Source organism: Homo sapiens, chromosome 10 (assembly GCF_000001405.40).
Source record: "Homo sapiens chromosome 10, GRCh38.p14 Primary Assembly".
Taxonomy (NCBI): Eukaryota; Metazoa; Chordata; class Mammalia; order Primates; family Hominidae; genus Homo; species Homo sapiens.
This window is the reverse complement of record NC_000010.11, coordinates 60,278,136-60,298,108: the sequence shown is the minus strand read 5'-3', so window position 1 is coordinate 60,298,108 and position 19,973 is coordinate 60,278,136. Positions and strand designations below refer to the sequence as shown.

The 19,973-nt window shown below is 37.9% G+C and overlaps 1 protein-coding gene across 4 annotated transcripts in view; it reads left to right on the top strand.

Annotated features, from left to right (window-relative positions):
- Positions 1 to 19,973, top strand: part of ANK3 (ankyrin 3) — a 707,231-nt gene that overhangs the window by 435,420 nt on the left and 251,838 nt on the right. For all 4 annotated transcript variants that reach the window (NM_001204403.2, NM_001204404.2, NM_001320874.2 and 1 more), the window contains 3 exons: positions 18,470 to 18,571; positions 18,961 to 19,059; positions 19,237 to 19,335. In NM_001204403.2, the coding sequence (NP_001191332.1) occupies positions 18,470 to 18,571; positions 18,961 to 19,059; positions 19,237 to 19,335 (300 nt within the window). The remainder of the gene's footprint in view (positions 1 to 18,469; positions 18,572 to 18,960; positions 19,060 to 19,236; positions 19,336 to 19,973) is intronic.

Genomic DNA, 19,973 nt, shown 5'->3' with positions numbered 1-19,973 from the left:
ATTCAACAGCAACTGATGTGCATTAATTTTAAATCCTGTGAAGTTACCCTATAATGCCAAATAGAAAATCTTTGAATTTGGATGTTTCCTATGTTATATATATATTTTTCAATGATTGATCCAGTAATAAATACATATTTAACTGTTGGAGGAATCCCTCATTTTATTGTTGATTTTCACTTAAGAAAATTGGGGGCAAGTAGGATATTTTATATAGTCAAACTCAAAAAAAGAAATCACAAAACTTGTCTTTTGCTGCTGAGACTATTATAGTGTTTGTTTTGAAATGGAAACTTTTAGTTATGTAGTAAATATAATATTTACTTACCAACTAAATTTGTTCTGTGTGACAATATAAAGATGCTACCTCAGGTCGGTTATAAATTTGGATGATAATCAAATTTAAGTTATCTGTAAGACCAAAAAGAATTTACAATATAATGAGATATCTTTTCGAAGTCATTCTCTTTATAATGTTAAGACATTTTTAGTCGCAAAGTAAATACGTTTGCCAATTCTATCCTAATGCAAATGTTTATTTTTTAAATGTTTTATCATGATCCTCAGAATATATTGCAAAACCTAGTAATAAAAATTAAACTGTGTCTTCTAATTGGACTGTTGATAAATATATAATTAGATAATATAACATAAATTTCAGTGTATTTCAGGGAAATATTCATAGTTACTAATAATCACTCGTTAAGCATAAGACTCTGTAAGGAATTTAATTCTTTTATTTTAGGAGTCTCTTTTTACTTTTGTAAGTAAGATTTTTGTAAGAATATCTTTGTAGATATTCATGATCGCAAACATTTCCAGAGAATAATGTTGGGTAGTGAATGCCATTTTTTTCTTTAGTCAAGTGACGGTGAGTGATGGCAACCAGTTTGAAAAGTAGAAGCCAATAATGTAAAAATCGCTTTTCAGAATCTGGATATGTTTCAGCTTTATTTAGTCTTGAATTATTGATTATTTTGTATTCTAACTCAACATCATTTTGATATATTGTAAATTTACATACTTCTGTAATTCAGTGATTATTGTCATATTTTGAAAACACTTGTATCTGTAAGATCAGATACATTTTGAACACTGCATACTTTTTTATTTATTTATTTATTTCTTTGAGACAAGGTCTCACTCCGTTGCCCAGGCTGGAGTGCGGTAGCACAATCACAGCTCACTGCAGCCTTGAACTCCCAGGTTCAAGCGATCCTCCCACCTCAGCCTCCTGAGTAACTGGGACTACAGGTGTAGACCACCACACCCAGCTAATTTTTAAAATATTTTTTGTAGAGACAGGGCCCCACTATGTTCAGCCCAAGCTGATCTCAGACTCTTAGGCTCTCATCTCAGCCTCCCAAAGTGCTGGGATTTACAGGCATGACCCACTGCACCTAGCCCTACTGTAGACTTTTAAACACAGACTGTGACTTGCTCATTATTTGATCCCCAAAACCTGGAATATAATATGTATTCAATAAATATTTGTTAAGATTTTAAGCAAAACTTCATCTTTGAAGGGTACAGCCTCTCATAATCATGGCCTTCTAGTTACCAGTTAGTCCTAACAAGAGACTATTTTAAAATATTTAAATATTTTTAAAAATGTTTGAAAGGAACATGCTCTAATTAACTTTCCATTTTAGTGACCAGAATCAGGCTGTCATTTTCCATGTAGAAGTTTCCCAGAACAGAGGATTTGTATCTGTAGTTGTGTTTATGCAACAATGACAAGTTGTCCTTAAGGAATTCTCATGCTATCTTTTTGGCAGCATCACTTGCAATGGAATTTGTTGCTTATTTGTCACATGTCATTTCTAAGGACCTTAAGTGGACATCCTATGGACAGTGTCATCCACTGGGGAAGTGTATTAGTGTTCAAGTATTTCGACTGTGTGGACATAGCCACTTGGAAAGACTCTAGGAGAACTAAAGCAAGGTAGCAGAAAAGCAATGAATAGGTACTGATTAGAGTGATCCTGATCTGTACTTTGCAAAAATAGTAGCACTATATTTATTTAGACTTTGCTTCCTGCTCAGTCTTGCCTTTTGCTTAAATGTTCTCTTCGGAGGTGTTAGGCCTTTGTATCATGAGGTCAATCAAGAACCCCTGGGTGTCCCTGAGACCCTTCTAGAGTACCCTGAAGACTGGTATCCTTGACCTACTTCAACCAAAACAATACGTACATTAAAGAGATTTGCAGACTCGTAAAACAATACCATTCATCTCATCTTTTTTATTTGTTTTGGAAAATACCGTTATGTTTCATAAGATAAATATTTTAAGTTAGCATGTAACAAGATTGCCATTGTTAATTTAAAATAAATTAATGATTAATTTTTAAATTGTCAGCTTTATTTTCTAATGTGGTAAATAACAATAGTTATAATCCTCATAATCAAAAGCTCTTTGGGGTTCCTCAATAATAGTTAGGAGTATAAAGGTACCTTGAGTAATAAGTTTGAGAACCGCTGCTGTAGACAGATCACAATGTGAGTGTTCTCTGCTTTGTTTGCTTCCCTTACTTCCTGAAAGCACTGGGCAAATGAGGTCAAGTTCGTGGGTTCAGTCCCTGTATGTTTGTTTGACTCTCATGGTTATAATTGTAGCCAAACAAACTAGAATATTAACTTAAAATAATTTTAAAGTGATAATTAATAAAGGATAATGTTAATTGGGGACCAACTGTGTGCCATGCCATTTCTAACTGCTCGGCATGTATTATCTCCTTTAATATCAACAGCCCTCTGAGTTAAATTTTACTGCTAATTTCATTTTACAGATGAGGAAATTTAACTACAGTATGTTTAAGTATCTTGGCCAAAGTCACATCCTTTGTGAATTGCAGAGTCAGGTTGTGAACTTAGGCATCCTGGGTCCAGAGTCTGAACTCTGAAATCACTAAACTACATTGACTTGCCAATAGAAAGTGACATATTAGTCTAGATCTATCTGCAAATACTTAGAAAACACATATCACATAGCTCCTTAAATAGGAGTCTTTGCTCCTAGTAACCCTCGTAGTACATTTTAGCTGTTAGACGGTAACATAACGGAAAGTCACCTTCCATGTTATAACTACTTATAATGACAGAGTCCAGCGGTTACCTTAAATTTGGGGTAAAGTCCACTCTTCCTTGTTTCATTTTTTGTTATAGAAAATAACGTCCTTCCTTATTTTCTTTACTACATGTTTCCTTCGCACTTCTAGAAAGATTTCTTGTGTGTCTATGTATGTGCTCTTTCTATATTTTGCCCTTTTGTTGTATTTAATGTAAAGCTGTTTAAGCCTCCCAATTCCAAATCTAGTCAAGGAAAAATATAAATGTCACTTACAGATTATTTACAATCCCAAATCAGTCTATCTATCTATCTGTCTATCTGACTTCTCTAGTGAGCTAACCTTGTTTTTAAAAATATTTTTTATACATTCAAATAAGAACTTCTTTAGCTATATTTTCAGCAAGGCCTCCTAAAATCCCTTTGTTGATTACAGACTTAAGTAAAAATGAAACATTTTAAGTGAAAAGAACAATAGCATTTTGGTATATTTGTTTTTTAAAAAATCAGCATGAAACCATCCTCCCTGCAAGCCCCCTACCTCCCAAAAAAGGCACATAGTTTCATTTACCAACAATTCTAGCAAGGCTCCAGCTGCATCAGCTGGTGGCCAACATTTTAGGATGATAAATTCAAGAACTCACTAGCTAATGCCTCCTCTCCCTCTGGTGCCATGGCCTCACCCTTCAACTCCTCTGGGCTTTTAAACCTCAGGCCTCTAATTATCTGACCAGGAAGCTGAAGTCCACTGTATTGTAATTTCCTATCTGATTCGCACCATATAGAGTATATTTATGCATTGCAAGAAAATAGTTATGTTTGCAGTATTAAGTCTATGCACACTAAAAATCAAGCTGTTTATTTCCTGGTCTAAAAAAAAAACTGTTGGGAAAATGTTCATCTATTCAAATACTTTCTCTTCTCTCTGCTACCTAGACCAGTTTTAGCTTATCACTGTTTTCAGTTGCTATATATAAAATGTGAATAGTTGCTTGGATTAAATATTTTAGGACTCATGCCAATGCCTCCTACATAATAAGGATCCTTAAGCATGAAGGCCTGAAATCCTTGTTCTGATTCATAACATACCAAATAAATGGAAAAATCGCAAACAGTTGTCATGTTTTATATAATCTACCACGTATAATGCCAGAAGTTACTGCTATGTATTTCCTGAGCGGAATATAGCAATATCTCAGTATTATGAGGTACCTCTCTAAGGGACTCAGCAGTTTGTGTTGTGGTGGTTGTTGTGTAGCCAAGCTATGCAAAAAATTGGAATTTGTTTTATAAACAAGGATCTCCGCAGACTGCCAGATTTTAACTGCATAATACTATCTCGTTTCATTTTATGTTTAATGGGACAAAGTTGTCGGTCATTTTTAGCCTTCTTTGTATGTGAGGAGTGGGTCCAATTCATTCTTGTTCTGTATCATTAGGTGGTAGGAAGAACATTAAAGCCAGGGAACCCAAATTCTATTTTCAGCACTTTCTCTAGCTAGTTAAGCAAATCACACCTCTCTTCGCTTCAGTTTTCTATCTATTTGATAGAGATGATACGGTGACCACTGCTTACCCCAAAATATAAGATGTGTATAACAGATAGGATTGTATGTATTTTTTTGTTCAATACAAAGCAAGTTGTTTATTAAGACTAAGAGTTAATCGTTACTCTATCTTTGCTTACCAGTTTACTAGTTCAGCGCTATGAACCATGAGATTATTTAATGTTAAGGTGAGCCGAGGGTATGTATGTAAATGACTAATGCTATCACAAGATGATAAATGAAGGCGTGATGAGATGAATGCCAGCGGATCCCTCCAGGAGGGGGATGTTTAAAGCAGCCACTCTCTCTGGTAAACAAGGAAGAATAGATTATGCATCAAGGATTTCCTAGGCAGCTTGGCTCGCAGGAAAGCAAAAGAGAATTTCTTAACGACATGTTCATGTGGGAAATAATTGAGACAGATGAGCTAGATGAAGCAAAGCAAAAAGAGAGGAGGGGGTGACTGATAGAAAGTTTAGGACCCTGGGCGGGGCTTGGTGGCTCATGCCTGTAATCCCAGCACTTTGGGAGGCCAAGGCAGGTGGATCACCTGAGGTCAGGAGTTTTGAGACCAGCCTGGCCAACGTGGTGAAACCCTGTCTCTATTAAAAGTACAAAAATTAGTCGGGCGTGGTTGTGGGTGCCTGTAATTCCAGCTACTCAGGAGGCTGAGGCAGAAGAATCGCTTGAACCCGGGAGGTGGAGGTTGCAGTGAGCTGAGATTGCACAACTGCATTCTGGCCTGGCAACAGAGTGAGACTCCGTCAAAAAAAAAAAAAAAGAAAGAAAGTCTAGGACCCCAGTGGCTTTATGTTTTTTTTGTTCAGCACATGCCTTCTCCCAAACAAATGAAAAATACTTTAGGTATTTTTGGGAAGGCTGGCATCTAGAACACTTACAGATTAGAAACCATTAACTGCTATTTTATTAAACCTTTGATTACTATCTTATTTTAACTCAATGGGGAAAATAATTCCCTGAAATAAACATGATTACACTTTTCCAAAGGACTAAATCTTCCTTATATTAACATTCCATTAGCGTGTATTAAGAAAAAAAAAATTCTCCAGGGCTGCTGTATGTTTTGAATTGCTTAGCCCTGAGAATGCAATGGATAGACTTTTTTTTTTTTCCAGAGCAAGATATTACTATTTCTCTCATGCTTCTTTGTCTCAAGAGGTAATCAGAAACAGGTTCAAACACAGAGGAGGTTTCAAAATAGTCTGGTAATGAATACACCTGCAAAACATACTTTTCAGAAATGGTTTCTCCATCTGCGGTTATTTTCCAGGCTTACTTATTTATTTGAATCTTTAGATTTCAGAATAACCAAATATAAACATTTTATTAATTTTAAGGTTGAACTGTCTGTTCCTCTTGTATAGCTTAACCCAAGTAAAGGCAAACTCATGCTGTCCTAAAATATCCTAATGAAATAAAGTTGAATAATTCGTTTTCATTTTAAATTTGAAAAACATCTTGAGCTGAGCACAGTGGCTCACACTTGTAATCCCAACACTTGGGAGGCCAAGATGGGTGGATTACTTGATCACAAAAAGTCAAGAACAGCCTGGGTTACAAGGCAAAACTCCGTCTCTACTGAAAATTACAAAAATTAGTCAGGCGTGGCGGTCTGTACCTGTAGACCTGGCTACTAGGGAGGTCAAGGTGGGAGGATTGCTTGAGCCTGGGAGGTGGAGGTTGCAGTGAGCTCCAGCCTGGGTGATAGAGACAGACTGTCTGGGGGTAAAAAAAGAAAAAGAAAGAAAGAAATGTATCTTGGATAAAGGGCTATACTTCTTTTCACATCTTGGGTTAGGTACTTTGGCCACAATAGAACTTTTATTAACACTGCTCCGTCTTTGCTTGTTTGGAAAATTAAACACTTACCATTAGCAGTGGAAGCATTTGTGCATTGCATAATATCATGGAGCTTTTAGGGCAGGGAGGATCTTGCTTGTCATCTAGTCAAATCATCCTACCAGTTCCTTACATCATTTATGGCTTTCTGCCTAATACAGCGTAGTGACTTTGTGTCTGCAGCACAGTAAGATACCTTGCAACTTCCATAGTGTAAGGAAAATGAAAGTTTTGAGTCAAAATAGTTTGAAGTCAAAATAGTTGGCCATAGCCTGGTGCAAATCAAGACAAAATGTTACTATATTGACCTCATATTATTAAGACACAAATTCTCCTCTCCTGATACCTATGATTTTATATCCTCTAAGAGACAAGTGAAACTGGCTTTTTAAGATCTTACTTTATATTATCAGAAAATTTGAGACAAACACAGATCCTATTTTGCAGCTGAACATAATCAAGTCTATGTTGAGGAATATTAGAAATACCCACCCACCCACCAGCACCTGACATGTGTTTTTCCTCCCATGGGAAAATTTTTTTTCTTCTCTATATTTGTTTTTGTTGCTAATCAGTCTCCAAGAGAATTTTTAGGGGTCTGAATTCTGAGTGAGAAAAAATACCCCCACGGCCTGAATTCTAGATCCTCCTTTTGATGTAAACCAGATCATAGTGGACAGACTGGATGAGGGTATGTTTTATCAGCATATGGCAAGGTAAATCTCTTGAAAACACTGCCTTTACAAAAACAAAAGCCTGCCAGCACTGTATTTTTTTTAACTGGTTCCCACTCCCCTCTATTTAAAGATAAAGTTGGGAATGTTGTTTTGCCTTTCAGCATGAGAGTGGCCACTGTGCACAGACACCCCAGCAGGTTTGAAATGTGCACCAGCAGGGGCCTTTCTGGCACAGGTCCCAGTGTAAAGATGCTAACCATGCCTAACATGTGTTAGGGGTCAGTGACCTCATTTTCAGGGATGAACTGAGGGTACTTCCAAGCAAAATCCATGCAAAGGCAGCCTTGTAGCTATCAGAGGGAATCTGAGGAGCAAGCCCCTTTTACTTCAGTTAGTTTTGACAGTGATTATTACTAATATAGACCACCTTTAGAAATTTAGAAGCATTTTTTTTAATTGGTTAAGTAACCCCCTCTCTACTCCTCTTCTGGCTGATTTATGGATGAGAAATGCTGGTTTATTTCTAATAACTGGATAACAGTTAAGTAAAAAAAAAGAATAAAAGCTTAATAATCTGAGGTCTTTCCTAACTAAAAGGGTTCAAGTTTTTTCAAGCTCTTACCATGAAAAAGGCACATAAAATTCCCCTTTATTTAAGATCTCCACACCCAAAACACATACTTGAAAATAATGCATTTGCTGACATAGACCAATCTCTTAAAAAGAGAAATATCAATCTCTTAAAGATCCAAGGTTTTTACTGACAGACGGCAGATTATAGTATGAATGTCACCGTTGTTTTCGTTTGTGTAATTGGTTGCATTCTTCTGAAATCGGTGGGAAATTAGATCACTGTGCAAGATATCTATAAAAATATCAGTGCACAATATCTTACTCTAAAATATCTGGCAACTGAGTGGTCACAATCGGGATGGCCGTGTCCCAGTGATTCAGCTCTAGTCTCATAGGAAAAAAAAATCCACCCTTTGGCTCCCCTCTCATGTGCTTGGGCAGAGCCACAGCCCTGTGTCCCACACGAAAGCCTTAAACACAGAAGAATGGGCCTTTCAAGTCATTAGACTAATTTTTTGTTGGACGTTATCTTATTCTAAATAAACACATTTTAGATTTTGAAAAGTTCAAGTCCCGTTTCTGATGGAGAATAATTTTCAAACTCATGTTACTTTGTTCACCAAAAATTACTTCTCAGTGCTACCAAGCAAAGCCTCTCATCTTTAGTTTCTGGCTATGAAAAGCAGGGGGCATAAGGCTGGGCACTGTGGCTTACATCAGCACTTTGGGAGGCTGAGACAGGCAGATCACTTGAGCCTAGGAGTTTGAGACCAGCCTGGGCAACATGCTGAAACCCATGTCTACAAAAAATACAAAAATTAGCCAGGTGTGGTGGTGCCAACTACTTGGAAGGCTGAGGTGGGAGGATCACCTGAGCCTGGGGAGATCGAGGCTACAGCGAGCCATGATAATGCCACTGCACTCCAGCCTGGGTGCGAGAGTGAGACCTTGTCTCAAAAAAAGAAAGAAGGAGGGAGGGAGAGAGAAAGAGAAAGGGGGAGGGGAGAAGAAGAAAGAGGGTGGCATAAGCCAGAAGCTGTGGATTGCTTGAGCCCAGGAGCTTGAATACAGCCTGGGCAACAGAGCAAGACCCCATCTCTTTAAAAAAAAAAAAAAAAAAGGCAGGGCATAGATGAAAAAGGGTCGGGGGAGGTAATTATGAAGTGAAGAATTTAAAATCTGGCCTTGAGATCTTAATCTTGTATGTTAAACTAGAAGTCTGTCAGTATACCTTCAGAATGCCTCTTATATCACTTTCTTGTCCATTCCACAGCTAGCCCCCCTAGGTCTTCTTATCACATTGTCACATACAACCATATTTTCACAGTAACCTACTTCAGTGGCTTTCTCCTTTGGTGAAGGAGAACTTAATGTGCCACCAAAGGAGATCAGTTTGAGCAGCATTGATCAAAACATCCCATCTCAGACCAATCGAATCTGAATCCCTTGGCTGTGACGTGTGTGTGTGTGTGTGTGTGTGTGTGTGTGTGTGTGTTATTCCTACCTGGGAGATCCTTGAGGCACGGTGGGGTTGACAACAAGGACCCACAGATCTTATCTCCATTTTCTCCCACACTCAAATCTGACATCAGTTAATTGGGTCAATATATAGCTTTCAATGATGTCTTTTCACTCCTCAAAACTCTTTATTTCCTCCTGGTATCTTTATGGCGAAGTTAAATCAGATTTATCTGGTGTTCCAAACCTCTCCTGAACCTGTCCTTTTCGCCTACTCCCCCGTCCCAGGGGAATCCCCTTTGCATAGAGACTGTCTATTCACAATTCCTCAAACCTTTCTGGCTCTTTATTTCTACCTACCTTTTCTTCCTTTTATTCTCCACTGACCAAATCCCCTGTTGAAATCCTGCCTCCTCCTACTGGCTGTTTTCCCAGCTGTAACAGGATGCAGAAATGGCCCTTCCCGATGAGCTTCTCTGACTTTATGAACTTCTGTAGGTTCATCTACCATGAATTCAGGCTCCAGTATGCACAGCTAGATTAGGACAAAGACCTACCCTAAAAAAGATTATCATCCATCTCTGTAGGATATGTGATCCTAAGCAGAACAGACCAAGTGCTGTTGGAGTCCAGAGCGAGAAGGGATCATGCCTAGTGTTTATCAGGGAAAGTAGCAAATATGAAGGGATCTTTGAGCTGGACCCAGAATTTAGTAGGTGCGTCTGTTGGTCGGGGAGGGAAAGTGAGGAGGGTTGGTGAGCATTACTAGCCGGGCATTACTGTTATTACTAATGTCCTGGGTGAAGTCACAGTGCCAGGAAATTATAGGGGGCAGTTGAGGAATAAAAAGATATCTAGGTTGCTTTCAAGATTAGTGTTGATTCATGTTTTGTTTCAGGCTGGAAGTATGTGTTTGGGACAGGTTTTAAAGGGCCTGTGAGCCTATGCCATAGAAGTGGATTGGATATTATGGTTTAAAAGCAACAACGTTTGAACAAATGAGATATGGTATAAAACAGCAATCTATTAAACAGATAAGAGTAGACCTATTGGGGGCGAAACTGAAGATAGGCACACACAACTCTGCTCAGTGAGCCCTACCCTTGATCTCAGTGGTTCTAAACTTTTGGGCTTCACAGAACTCAAATGGAAAACCCCTGGTGTTGAGGGAAGAGCCTGGGCTTGCTATCAAGCAGACTTGGGTTTCATTCCTTGCTGCTTACTTATTAGTTATGTGACCTTGGGCAAGCCACTTAATTTTTAAGAAAGTTAGGTTTCTGCCTCTGTAATGAGATTCCTGTTTTGATTGAATACTTAAGAAATAAATGATAATGCATGTATAGTAAGACATAGTGCATAATAATAATACATGTAAAATGCTTAGTGAGGTCCCAGGTATATAGTAGGCACTCATTTAATTGCAGCTATTTTCCTTATCTTGACTTTCTTAGAACCCTCAGTGGACCTTTATACACTGTTCAGTGCTTCCAGCAGAGTAACTAGTGCCAACTACAGCCTCCTGGAGATTTTTTAAATGATCTGGACATTATACAGTAAGGGCCTGAACTGGCCAGGGAGAAGGATGAATGAGGAAAAAGAAAGTGACCATATTTTCAGCTGTAGGGAAAGCTAAGAAGTTAGGAAAACAATAAAAATAAGTCTTCTGAAGTACATCTTTGAACTAGCACTTTAAAAGTAAGAGGCCTGTAGAGATTTAAAAATATATATATGTGAAAGCAAAAACTGTTTTACTTGGTTGTATGAGTACAGAGTACAGGAGACAAAGCCTAGGACATGCCCAAGGTGGATAGTCTAATAAGAGACCCCACATTAACCTGGGCTCCAAATGGTGAGCCCCCAGTATAAGAATGGACAGGAAATAAACCCACCATACAGAAGAGACAGGAAAAATATTCCTCTCCCCATTTGTCACCAGATGGAAGGGAAAAAAGTCTGTCCTGAGAATTTGTAACCACAAGGAATCCCTCATATCTATACCAGTTTGAGATCTAAATTTATCCGTGTAGTCTTAACAAAAACAAAAACAAAAAACCTCAAGCCAAGCATTTATTTTTAAAGTAATCTTGGGTTGATAGTGCCTCTAGGCAACTGGCAGAACCAATCTCAAATTTCTCTTTGGAATATGACAACATTAATCCAGGCATTAAAGACTTACCAAAGATTAGTTTCTAAGGAATATGAGGTCACAAGCAACAGTCACAAGCCAGGGAAATGTAAATTGGTGCAATCACTTTGAAATGCAATTAACTAGAAATTAACTAGTAAAGCTGAATAAGCACATACTGAGTGACCCAGCATTTATGATCCTAAGATTTAAAAAACTCTTGCCCTTATGCACCCCAAGTAGTGCCAGAATATTAATGACAGTATCTTTCATAGAGGGTCCAAACTGGAAACAAGACAAACATCCATCAACTCCACAGTGGATAAATACATTATGTCATAATCACATAATGGACTATTATATGTTAGCAATTATAAATTACCCACATGTTACATGTCAACATGGATGACTCTAAGAAACACAACATTAGACAAAAAAAGACAGAATGATACATAATATATAATTTTACTTATATAGAGTGCTAAGACTCTTAAGTACTAAGACTAAGTCAATTACATAATATTTAGCCTACAGAGGGGTACATAAATGTTAAAACTATAAAGAAAGGCATGAGAGTGATTAACTAAAACAGAGGATGCCTTAGGAGAACCACTCAAGAAGGGACTCGTTGGGAGTCTTCAAATCCACTTGTAACTTGCATTCTTGAGCTGAAAAGAGGGTATGTGGGTGTTTATGTTATGATTTTTCTTTGAACTGTTCATATATGTTTTATGTATTTTTTAAATGTATGATATGCATCAGATAAATACTTTTTTTAAAAAATGAGAAAGAACTAAAAAAGTCCCTAAGACAGAATATTGAATCAGATGTGTACACATAACTTTCTGGAAGGGGGTTTGAGGGAGAGAGTGAAGAAAAAAAGGTAATCAGAGAGTTACACCAAGATTGCATGCCTGGGTGGCTAGGATAATCTTCGGATATTTAAATAAAAACAAGGAAATCTATTGTTCATATTTCTGTTGTTAGCGTCTGGTTGCAGGCAGATGCATTATATATCTCAGCACACTTCTGTTTTTGCTGTTGTTGAGTGAGGGAATTGTGGGACATGGAAATGTCTTGGGGTGAGGATGAGCACTACGTGGATATGGAGTGCTGAGCTTAGAGAGAATAGTGGGAGCCATAGAAGCAATGAGGTCACCTAGAAAGAGCATGCAGGAAGGAAAGAAATGTGAGTTCTGAACATTTTCAGTGATGGGTTGAGGCAGTGAGGCACAGAAGGAAGTGAACAAAGAGATGACAGAAGAAAAGCTCGAGGGAAGATTTTCAAGAAAGAGAAGGTGATTGGTACTGTCAAACATTACAAGAGGAGAAACTTAAAAGTCATGGAACTTGATGACTGGAAGGTCATTGGTGATTTTATACAGAGAGACAGTATTGATTAGTGAGAGAAACTGTTTTGCCAGAAGTGCAAATATGAATTAGTATTAAGGATATAAGTCAGTGTGAACCTACACCAGTCTTTCAAAATGTTTGATATTTAAAGGAGAACTCATAAACATCTATTTAATTGAGTGCCTAGCTGTGCACTCACATTGTTAATTACCTGAGTTATCTAATTTTATCCTAACAGTAGGTTATTTTATTCTCATTTGACAGCTGAGAAAACTGAGGTACATAGATATTTTTAAAAACTTACCAAACACTAAGAGGTAGAATAGCTGAAATGCAGATTCGGGCTGTGTGATTCCAGTGCTTTGGTTCTTACCTAGTCCACTGCACTGGGAAATAGAGGCGATCATCACTTGCAAGGGGGTGCTGGGTAGAAAAGTGGAAGGAAACTTTTTTGTATTTTTGGTTTTGTTTTCTATGTTGGTAGGCAGAAGACAGGGCACCAGTAGAAAAAAGGAATTTGAAGTTTACAGGAAGGAGCATCTGACCCTTCACATGGCTCACAGGTAGCTGGGAAGATGAGGTAATGGGGAAAGATTAGAGATTTTTTTGGCACATCAAGTAGAAAGAGGCTCCTGAGATTGCCCCCGCCCCCCAGAAAAGTTTAGAAGCAAAGGAGCAGAGCTATGTTATGTACTCACTGGGTCTCCAGTCTGCATTTTTTCAGGTGATCCACTGTTAGCCTGATCTTGAGTCTCATAATAAACTTAATGAGGAAATTCTGATCCATGGAAGATATACCTGAAGGTGCCTAAAATAGTTAATTCAATGGATGGAGAGACAAATGGATGAACTGATGGAAAATGAACGAATGAATGAATGAGCTAAGAATTCTCATTTGGAATAGACCAAACATGTATTAAGCCCTTTCTTAGAATGGTGATTAACAGCCTAGACTCCAGAGCCAGACTGGGTTTGCATCCCTGTCATTCACAAGCTCTGTGTCCCTGGGAAAGTCACTCATCCTGCAGCTCAATTTTCTTATCTATGAAATGGAGCTAGTAATAGTACCTACTTGTGTTAGTTTGCTAGGGCTGACATAGTAAACCACCACAAACTGGGTGGCTTAAAATAATCAAAATGTATTATCTCACAGTTCTGGAGCCAGAAGTCCAAAATCAAGGTATCAGTAGAATCACACTTCCTCTAAAGACTCTAGGGCAGAATTCTTCCTTGCCTCTTCCCACTTCTGGTGGTCCCTGCCTTGAGGTAGCGTAAGTCAAGTCTCTGCCTCTTTCTTCACTTGGCCATCATCTCTCTTATGTGTCCATGTGACTTCTCTTCTTATAAGGTCACCAGTCATTGGATTTTGGGCCCATTCTAATCCCGTGTGACCTCATCTTAACTAATTATATCTGCAAAGATTGTATTTCCAAATATAGTCATGTTCTGAGGTTCCTAATGAACATCAGTTTTGGGGAGACACCATTCAACCCACTACATTACTTAATGGAACTGTTATAAGGATTACATAAATTAATATAAGGACTTATAAAATTAATACATATTAAGTGATGAATAATATAATTAAGTTAATATTAAGTGCTTATAATCATGTCTAGCTTATAGTCAAAGGTATGAAGTATTACTGAGGTTGGCACTCTGAAAATGCTTATTCTTTCCAATAACTGCTTTCTGCTGAATAATATCAATATTCCACTGCCGGTAAAGATGCTGAGTTACTAGATTAATTCATAATAATGCTTGACTCTATCCGTGAAGCTATTTCCTTGAAAAACATACATGATTCATATTTCTAGTAAAATGACTAAGTAGACAGGACATTAAATGGTAATAAAATAAACTTTCATTTCCAAATTCCTCAGATTTTGGTCACCCAGAGGAAAAAAAGTGCTGAACAACCTGTTCATATTCATTTTTGTGCAACTAATTCCTTAGGCAGTGGCTTTGTCTGTGTGACTTTCCATGTGGCTGCACCCAGCTTGTCTTTGAACCTAATTTCCTCCATAGTAATTTGTTGACATTTTTGGATGCATCTTAGATATAGCATCAAAAGAGGCATTATTTTGATACAAGGTTATCAAAAGGTTAAAAAAACCAGCTATAGACTGTGTTGAGTAACTCCTAGTTATTCCATGAAATGACGGCAGTGAGATACAACCCACTGATACTGAGTCTAGGACAAAATAGTGTGTTTTTTACACGAAGGATATAAACAGCAATATATTCTCTATGGGCAAAATTGGTGGGAAAATGGTTAAGAATCCAATATTTGCCCTGCCACTTATGCAAGGTTATTTTAGAGGAGAGAGAGTAAGAAGCTGTGAAATGAAAGCAAATAAGTCATTATTTGTGCCACATTTATTTTGTTCCACCAATGTGTATCCAGATATTGACACAATGACTAACACATAGTAGACATTCAACAAATATTTGAGGAAGTGGTGGCTGTTTTGTTTGCCGGTGGCTAAGAGTAAAAGGAGGAACTTATTGGTTCTTTTTCTGTGGGCTTTGTAATGTCTCTTCCTAAGATGTAAGTTTTCTTCAGGGCAGTCTTCATTCGCCTCTTCTTGCTTTTTCTCTACATTTTCCCCCTTTTTATTTGAAGTGGGTGGTTGTTATGGTTTTGGTGTGGTAAGCATGTTGATACGTAACAGGGCCAAGGAAAGTGAAGAAAATTAATTTCTGTTTCTGCGTGTACTTCCTAAAATTCTGAGGTGGTCAATTAGCTATCTCAGAGAATTGTTTGATATCAGGGTCATTGAATGAAATAGATATAATGAAGGCGTCCACCAGAGAATTTTGTATCAGTAGAGCAGGAGTTCTTAAATGCAAGTTCATGAGCAAGCTTAGCACTCCTGAACCACATGAAATTATGTGCAAATTGTGTATGCAGATGTAGATTTGGTGTGTGTGTGTGTGTGCAATTGTTGAAGGAAGATAATTTATTCATCACCTTTATTAGTCTCAAAAGAATCCAGATCCCAAATAGGTAGAGAACCACTGAATTCGAAGATTTGTTTTATACCGATTTTGTTTTGTTTTAGAGGTTTGGATGGGAAAATTCTGAGGAAACTTGAGAGCAAAATGGACAGTGTATGGAATTATTAAATCTTTCCAGATATGCGATCAATTCAAAGGCTTTTTTCTTGAATTATAATACCTCTATTTTAACTTCTTTAGCCGCTGTTGTTATGTACTCCATGTTGGAGTTTGGGATGCTTAACTCACAGTTGTTATCTCTGGCAGTTGAAATATCCAGGCAGACTGATGTCATTTGTTCCCAGAACGGCATCAGAGCCCTTCTGGGCAAATTCACTGATAAGTCATTGAACAGGCACAAAGAAGATGATATTTTACGGTGCAATGAGCCATCCTTGCGTGGCTAATTTAGTTCTAACTGAACTTATAAACAAAAAACTAACCTCTAAATAGTGAACCTCTTTAAAAACTGCATTCTGTTTTTCTTTAAATCCCTGGAAACTTTTATTTGTCCTTTGTTTAAGTTGAACTTTTATCTTTTGTCATCTGCTTAACCCTCTGCTCTGATTAAATGATTTTCATGCTTATCTCAAATTCCAATTTTATGTTATTTTAAGTAATAGCTGTGTGTGCTCTCAGACACCTGACTCGGTGACTTAGTTTATAATCTCTGGTATTCACCTTTGTATCTATCAGATTCTCAACTTAAACTGCTGCTGCTGCTAATAAAGCCTCCTATATTATTCCAGGCAATACTTTAATTAATAGTTATTTCCACCCAATTTACTTATTTGTTGATGCATTCATTCACAAAAAACTTACAGGCACTTGCTATATGCCAAGAATGCTTCCAGTTGCGGGGGAAACAGTAAGATGAATATTACATGGAGTCACATTGCCTTGTGCTGAGACAAGGCTTGTGGCAACCCAAACAGGCCAAAGAGTTAAGCCTCCTCAAGTGTACAATCTTTATGTAAGTTGGGTTACTGTTTATTTAAAGCAGTGGTTCTCAACTAGGAAGACTTTGCCCCCTCCCCCAAGGGACATTTGGCAATTCTGGAGACACTTTTAGTTATCACAAATGGGGGATACCACTGGCACCTGGTCAATAGAAAATGCTTGTAAACATTGGACAATGAGCAGGACAGTCCCCTACAGCAAAGAATTATTCAGATCAAAATGCCAATACTGCTGAGGCTGAGAAGCCCCAATTTAGAGGCACAGTAGTGATTGAGAGAGGCTCATTACTGTAAAAGAGAAGGGGGCAGGTGACTCCAGAGGCAGTGGCCTCTCCTCTGAGGTTCTGAGCAAGTTGACTCTTAGTGAATTGACCCACACTGGAACCAAAGACCATTCTGAGGGGTAGAATTTTCTTCTTCTCAATTACATTTCCATGAAAGAATTAGCATTCCTCTCTTAAAGACTGGCATCCTGGCTGCTTTCCAGTTGCCTACTCCTTAATCTGCCTCCTCTGCTTATTCTGAAGGGGCTCATAATTTAGGGTGGAAGAAGGACAGGTATACCAAAATCTGTGATGTTGTGTAGTAAATACGAAGAGAGTTCAATGAAATTAATGCTGGGAGCACTGAGAAACTAAACTCCACCTGGGGGGTCTGGGCAGGCTTCACAGATGAGGCGGCATGAACAAAGCCTTTGAAGGCGGTGTTTACCATATTGCTGAAAGAAGACACTTTTCTCTTTTAAGCCATACCCTGCATGATTGCATTTATAACTGGTGACAAGATGTTTTTGGCTGCTCTTTCAGGAAAACCTGCTTTTGTATTGTACTGTATTAAGCAAGACTTCTTTACAAATTTTGCAGGCCCAGCTTTGCAGTGTCTTTCCTCTCACCATCTTTCTATCAGAGATTTCAATAGTAGGTGGTTTCAACTATGAAATTATAGATGTTAGAGTTTAGCAGTAGTTCAATGTTGCAAGCTTTCAATGAGTGAATTACATGTCTTGTTGTTCTAAAATTGTATATGTATTTCTTTCTGCTGCTGCTCCTACATATGGCTATGTACTGTAGGAAAATCCAGTAGAACATCATTGCCTGCAAATATCTGTTAGACTATTAAGTACAACATATAATGGGTTAAGTTGGGATCATGCCTATAATCCCAACACTTTGGGAGGCCAAGGTGGGAGGATTGCTTGAGGCCAGGAGTTCAAGACCAGCCTGGGAACATAGTGAGACCCCGTCTCTAAAAAATAAAAAAGTAGCCTGGCATGGCGGCGCATGTCCATAGTCTCAGCTACTGAGGAGGCTGAGGCTGAGGATCACTTGAGCCCGGGAGTTCGAGGCTGCAGTGAGCTGTGATTGCACCACTGCACTCCAGCCAGAGCAACAAAGTGAGACCCTGTCTCTAAGAAGAAAAAGAATAATGCCATTTTGAATCCATTAATGGAAAAAATTGCTGTGGTAGATATGGATAAAAGGAATAGATGTTACATTTCTGCTACAAGAAAATAGTGGGGTCTTCATAATGTAATTATCAATAAGTTATAGAATTTCTCTTTTCCCTCTGGAAATTGTGTGTTGATTTAAGGTGCCTATACTTTATAGGAAATTTTATCTCTCAATTCAGAAGGAATTCTGACATCACACAAGGGATAACATTGTACCCTTGAAACTAACTTTTAAAAAATGTGTCCTTTTCTTGGTTCTTTTTACAAAGAACTTTTATTCATATTTTCATGTTAGAAATAAAAGAGTTCAATTATTTTAGTTTGGACCTTAAGCTGGATAGTTTATAAACATGCATATTAGCTTCATTTTTCATCAAAATGTGTTTCTTTTTTATTTTAGTCTGATGCCAATGCAAGTTACTTAAGAGCAGCTCGAGCTGGACACCTTGAAAAGGCCCTCGACTACATAAAAAATGGAGTTGACATCAACATTTGCAATCAGGTTAGCTGGAGTTATTATTGAATTTTTTACTTAAAATTCTAAAAATCCAGACTTCAAGCTCCTTAAAGACTTCATTTATTTGTGGGGTTTTTTTCCATTGAATTTTATCAGCTTGTCATTGTCAAATTATTCTCTGTTAGAGGAACATTCAGAAATGTCAGCATATGTCCCTTAATAATTAATTTCTAAAATTTAGTAAATAATGATAACAGAACAACCCATCCAGTTTTGAAGTACTTTGATTCCTAATTCAAGATTCAAGTTCCTGCACAGCATACATGCAAGTGATCATCAGGTGGGACTTTATAATATCTCAGGAGTTCTTGGTCGGTTGTTTACTGCTCTATTTTCAACCTGCTGAGTAGAGCTTTTCCTTTACTTTTAATCAGAATGGGTTGAACGCTCTCCACCTTGCTTCCAAAGAAGGCCATGTAGAGGTTGTTTCTGAGCTGCTGCAGAGAGAAGCCAATGTGGATGCAGCTACAAAGGTCAGTATCACATATTTAATGCTTTTTGAACCACTCGCCATGTTCTGTGAGGATTCAGCCCTCAGTAAGAATGGGGGCACATATCTCATAAGATATTTGTCAAATTTGTTCTCTTTGGGGAGAACAGGAAAATTCAAAAGATCGATGAGTTGATATATCTTGACTTTCATTTCACAGAAAGGAAACACAGCATTGCACATCGCATCTTTGGCTGGGCAAGCAGAGGTGGTAAAAGTCTTGGTTACAAATGGAGCCAATGTCAATGCACAATCTCAGGTAAGCCTACAACTCCATGCCACAGACATTTTGTTATCATTTACAAACAATGTTCTTTGGGTCAGGTGCTTGCTTAGTTCACATATCCTCTAAGAACAGAATACTTAAGAACTATATTTAAAAAGTTATATTTGGCACACTTTGGAAGGCAAAGGCGGGCAGATCACTTGAGGCAGGAGTTTGAGACCAGCCTGGCCAACATGGTGAAATCCTGTCTCTACTAAAAATAAAAAAAATTAGCCTGGCATCATGGTGTCTGTAATCCCAGATACTTGGGAGGCTGAGGCACGAGAGTCACTTGTTCCCAGGAGGTGGAGGTTGCAGTGAGCCGAGATTGCACCACTGTACTCCAGCCTGGGTGACAGAGCAAGCCTCTGTCTCAAAAAGATAAATTATTGCAGATTATTTAAATTCATATGTATTTTCATTTGCAATATATATGTGTGTGAGAGAGAGATTTTTAAAGCGGCCTATCTATAAAAGATACTAGTCATAGACACAAATGTTTAAAGGGTATCTGTAATGCAGGGTCTTACACTATTTTATGATGCTAGCTTAGGTTCAATCTTTTTAAAAACAGGCAGAAGGAACTTTAAAAGTCCTCAAGTTTAATAAAAATTTTCAGATTCTTTGTAATG